The sequence below is a fragment of the Homo sapiens genome, chromosome 1, assembly GCF_000001405.40.
Source record: "Homo sapiens chromosome 1, GRCh38.p14 Primary Assembly".
Classification (NCBI taxonomy): domain Eukaryota; kingdom Metazoa; phylum Chordata; class Mammalia; order Primates; family Hominidae; genus Homo; species Homo sapiens.
Genome location: NC_000001.11, coordinates 6,823,151 through 6,828,816, shown reverse-complemented (window position 1 = coordinate 6,828,816; position 5,666 = coordinate 6,823,151). Strand labels below are relative to the sequence as shown.

The 5,666-nt window shown below is 35.5% G+C and overlaps 1 protein-coding gene across 36 annotated transcripts in view; it reads right to left on the bottom strand.

Moving 5' to 3' along the window:
* CAMTA1 (calmodulin binding transcription activator 1) overlaps nt 1-5,666 on the bottom strand; it is a 984,253-nt gene that overhangs the window by 940,890 nt on the left and 37,697 nt on the right. For all 36 annotated transcript variants that reach the window (XR_001737064.2, NR_146203.2, NR_146202.2 and 33 more), the window contains one exon: nt 3,607-3,725. Coding sequence is in view for 28 of the 36 variants with exons in the window: in XM_011541084.3 (XP_011539386.1) it covers nt 3,607-3,725 (119 nt within the window). In the remaining 8 variants the exon portion in view is untranslated. The remainder of the gene's footprint in view (nt 1-3,606; nt 3,726-5,666) is intronic.

Sequence of the window (5,666 nt, the reverse complement as noted above, 5' to 3'; positions counted from 1 at the left end):
AATGAAAGTTCCTAAGAATTAACAAGCAACACAGATGCAATTAAGCTCAGAGACAGGCTCTATCAAGTATGCTCTCTTGACCAAAAAATAACTACTGTCTACCTACACTCCCTCATCTCTAAAAGGAAATGTTACCCACCTTGCAATACTATTTTAAGGCTTACAAATAATTATATAAAATACCCAGTCAGTAGTAAAGAACAGGTGCTCAATAAATGGTAGGATGGGGCCGGGTGCAGTGGTTCACGCCTGTAATCCCAGCACTTTGGGAGGCTGAGGTGGGCGGATCACAAGGTCAAGAGATGGAGACCATCCTGGCCAACATGGTAAAACCCTGTCTCTACTAAAAATACAAAAATTAGCTGGGCATGGTGGCACGCACCTGTAGTCCCAGCTACTTGGGAAACTGAGGCAGGAGAACCGCTTGAACCCGGGAGGCGGAGGTTGCAGTGAGCCAAGATCATGCCACTGCACTCCAGCCTGGTGAAAGAGTGAGACTCCACCTCAAAAAAAAAAAAAAAAAAAAAAAAGGATGGAATGAGCACAATCTCACTCACAACACACACAGTATAAAAGGTTTTTTCAAACAATCACAAATATTTAAACACAGGTCTGAGTAAAGGAATTCCTTATTAGTATAGAGGAGTCACATTATACCCAGAAATTCAACTGTACACATCCAGCAGAGAGAGCGAGCGAGCACACACGAACATGGAGAACAGAGAAAGATGACAGTTGACATTTCATACAGGCAGCTCGAGCCACCAGTCTTACTTTGTGAACATATGCTGTACAGGGAGTGAGATGGAAAACACAAATCTACTGTGCTCTCAACTGTGCGCATTCCCACACGCCTCTTCCAGTGTGAGCCCCTTCAGTGGGATCTAAGAAATAGAGTTTTTGTACAACACAGCTTCTAAATACAAGCCAACTACTTCATGTGGTCCTCATCCAAAACACAGAAATCTATTCCAACTCTGGAAGGAAAACGGGCTCTTAATAAGGGCAGTCTGACTAAACTTTACTTTATGAGCAAGTCAAGGGATTTCACGGGCAATTTTGACTAAATATGATTTAGCATGACATAGGACCACAAAGCCCCAATGAGAAACAAGTCCACTGAACTACGTTTCCTTCAGGTTTTCATGTCAACATGAAGAATGGCAGGCTGAAGAACGTAAGAAAATGCCAATTCCCAGCTAGATCAAAGAAGTGCTTTAGTAACACCGCTGATTGCTTTATTCCACCTATATTACCAAAGCCAGTTTAAAAAAAAAAAAATAGCAGGTTATCATCGCCACATAACATTCTGCAGAATTAACAATTCGTAGGGTAAGTCTTCGCTGTCACACTTAATATTCCTCTATTTTTCCAAAGCCAAAAAATAAAACAAGAAAAAAGTCAAGGTCCTCTACAGAGAAATGAGTCAACCTGTAAATTCAGTTCCCTCATAGGAGCTTTTGTCAGCTGAGCTGACAATTAACTGAAAGAACAGCCCATCCCAAGGGAAAGGGTGCTGCATGGCTTCACCCATCAGCTGTGCCACCTCCTGCTGCCTCCACCCTTCAGAACATACGCTCCTCTACCTAGATTTCAGCATGAGTGATAGCTGATGCAAAACAATCCACGTTTTCCCATCTAGATCCTCAAATTTGCATTACACCAGTGAGAGAATGGGATGCATTTTCCTCTCTGTAATCTGAATTATGGCAGCCTCTGGCCTCCAAGGGAGTATGTGGACTGAGGTCCAGAAAGAAAATAAGGAAAAACTTCTCATTTTTTTCTTTTAATCTCATCCTCTATAAAAATTCTTTATCGGATGCTTTAAAACGTATCTAATATACTAGTAAGGTGCAACATGTAAATAATTTAGAGGTTTTATTAAACATGTGAAAGTTGAAGGGTTATGCTGAAAAGTTTCAAAAAGTTTTGAAGCCACTGATGGAAATAATCTACCAACTAAATTCCCAGCACTGCTACATCCAGCTTTATAAGACTCTTCAGGCCACTGATTTTAATTCACTAAGCAATTTCTGGTTTCAAATATAATGTCAAATCATAGTTAAAATAAACTGCCACAAGACATGGGTCCATGGGAAAAAATAAAATAAATAAGCTGCCAATTCCACAGGAAATATAATATGGAAAAATACATACTTATTATGGGTTGGGTTACATTTATAAATAAACTAGAACTAACGTGTATAATAATTTGGTATCAAATCTACGTTTCAGGGAATACTAAGAAATACACTGAGTTTTTAAATAATTCATAATCAAGTTCCGACTTATTAAATGGCTTCCAAATTATATAATACTATTTTGCTGAAAGAGTAACAAACTATGATTAAGACTAATTTTAAGCATATCTACTTCATTTTCACGTCTAAAAATGTCTGAAATAGTTAATAAATAACTGGTTAAACAGCAGGCCTCTAAACTAGCAAACATTTGTCAAAGCAAAAACATTCTGTCTGACGGGAAAATGTAATTTATGAAAATGATCAAAACATAGAGTCCTTCAAAGAATTTTACAATCAGTTGAGACAAGTTAACAAAGCTGTAAGGTTCCAGTGAGTATTTAAATCTAACCTGTGATAAGGAAAGAGACTTTTATCCACATAACCTCCCACCACGCAAAACAAAAGCATTCTGAATCAGGAAGTAGTTAGCGCCAAAGAATCTTTAAAAAATAAGGCTCAATAGGCAGCACTATTTTCTTCTTGTGTCTTTTAACAGAACTGAGTGTCCAATAAGGATAGGGTGCTAAATTTGCTTTAACTTGGACATCAATGTTGAGCCAAGGCACACAAATGGAACTTGGCAAAACCAGCAACCCCAGCCATCTGAATTAAAGGAATATAACTCCCAAATTGATGGACGTATACCCAATTCTCATCACCACACTAAACGGGTATTACCTTAAATTGAAATATTCAGATTTCAAAATAAAAAAGATGACAAAGCAATCCACTCCTAACAGTAAGACTCCTGGATTAAAATTTACCAAAAAAGGAAACATCATCCAAGATGATTAACTTTTTTCATTCTACTTCATAAATCTACTTTCTAATTGGATGCTAAATACATAATCTACTGTACAGCCTTCAATCTTAATAAAAATTCTTAGCATTAAGCAAACTTTCTTCATTAGAAAGGACGAAAAGCTGTTTCACTCCTATGAAACCTGCCCTTTCCAACTCTACAAAAATTCACATTGTCAAGACACTACACATTCTGTGGAACAGTGGGACTGTATATTTATTAATTCATGAAGACATAACAACTAACGTTTAACTGGCATGCAGGCAGGGTTAACCACTAAATGCAAGACACTAAAATGCAAGAAAACACAGACAGAAACTCATGCTACTTTAGTTAAGTCAACGTGCACATTGTGTATCTTTCAATGCAAGCCAAGCAGATCAGAGACAGATCAAAAAACATGTTGGTTGGTTTCTGTCAAATCCAGATTAAATAATGTCATTTACAATTTCCTAGATCAGTATTTTAAATTTAAAGCTAACATAAAGTAGGACTATGTGAAGCAACCTAAAAAATTTGCCCTTAAAATAATTATACCCTTAAAAAAAGAAACTTATCTACCTCATTAGTGTTCCAGCGGTGCCTCTCTTTTGGTAAACTTGAACATTTCGGCAGACATTCAAGCAGCTTTTTCGGTAAAAAGATTTTTACATGACTACTATTGCTGTTCCCATGATCATCTACAAAGAAGAAAACAATAAATTTAGAGAAAATAATAGATAAAATCTCCTTTAAAGTACACTGACAAAGTCAGAAATAGCAGCTCAGTTTAGTCAATGTGAGACCAAGAGCATCAGAGGCCCCACTATTCCTCTTAGTTAATAATACTCATTTACCCATTTATCAGATTGATGGCAGCAGGAATCTGGTCAAGAGGATTTAAAACAGGATCGGGCTTGTGCTCCCTGACATGTGAGTGAACAGGGAAAATCCCCGCAGCTGCCCATAACCGAAAGTTATTTTAAAAGGTTCTTTCCCCATGTTTTGATGAAGCACATAAAAATTATAAAATTAACCTCACAAAGCCCAAAAATCTTTTATTAAGCAGTTGAAAAAATGTTAAGTTTCTTAGGTAAGAAGAATTATAGTAATATATGACTATTTTGTTCGTAAATACTACTTCATCCCCTAGACTATAAAAGAGATTTATCCTTTCAAAAGCAAATCACAAATCTTATAAATATAAGGGATTTAAGCCTGCAGTTAGCTACTCAGGTAATACAGAAGCTGGCCTTTCTAGGTCTGAACATAAAATCATCATTTTAATTAACTTGATTTACATATACATATCTACATAATTAATGTATTTCATCAAAATGTAACTCTTCTAAATGAGTTAGAGAAAAAATAATTACTTTCAGACTAGATGGTATGTCTGACTACCTAATAATCAGTCTACCTGATGATTTCTAGAAGAGATCATTTCCTTTATATAACATTTATTTCACTCATTTGTTTGCTTACATATCATTTATTTTTTCACTCCTATAACAAAGTTTCTTTGCCTGACTCAAAATTTCTCACAAGCTTTGGCACATTTAGGTCAAAGTTACAAATTATTCATCCCAGGCTTTTTATGCTACATAAGATCCCCAATATACAAAGGGTACACATAACTAGGTACTAAGGAGCTGCACATTAAAACATCAAAGACTTAATTTGCTCCAGTAAGTCACAGTTGAAACAACTTTTCATGATATAATAAGGTTTTATAACACTGAACTCAGAGTCAAGAGTCCAAGATCTGGCCCAGTTCTGCTACTTTCTAATTGTGTGACCTTGGGTAAGTTACTTAATAGTTTCAGTTTTCCCAAATCAACAAGATTAGATTATCTCTAATTCTTCTCCAGACACAAATCCCTATAAAATTTACTGTCATTAAATAACTTAATAGGCCTTACAATTAAGCAACCTTACATAAGTATACAGGCATTGGTTAATAATCTTAAAAGTGAAATACAACAATATCTTTTTCCAGTTATTTACTACGGCTTTGTTCAGTACAGTCTATTTTTTTGAACAGATGAAAAACATCAAAGAACAAAAAATATTTTCTAAGGTCACAAAATCCTCTCCAAACATTTTTCATCTGATTAACACACTTCTTCTCAAGGAAAAGATCTTAAAAGGAAAATATTGGGCATAGAAATAAAGTCTAAAAAATTTACTACATCATATAGAAAGATTTTATGGAGATGAACTTAAGAGAGTTTTGGCATACTAAATCTTTTTTGGTCCATGAACTACATAACCAATTGAATTATAATACCCATCCTCTATTTCTATAAGCAGTATAAAAACTTTAAAAACCTAAAAACTGACTGCTTTCAAGAATTTCAAATTTTAATTTAATAGGAAAATAAGATTAAACCTTTCAAAAAATCTTCCTGTGAAACCAAAAGGAAACTGTTCAACTAAAAGAAAGTTCATAGAAAGTTCTGTATGAATTACACACTATAAAACCTCGGTAATCTTATGTGCTTATGCTCCCTGCACTTCATCCTCCCGAGGGAGGTTCCACGGGCCATAAAACTTTAAAGCAGAGAATACCAGATCACGTGAGCCTTTACCTCCCTTCTCTCTTCCCCTAAAGTACTTTTATTTCCATTTTTTAAAATCCC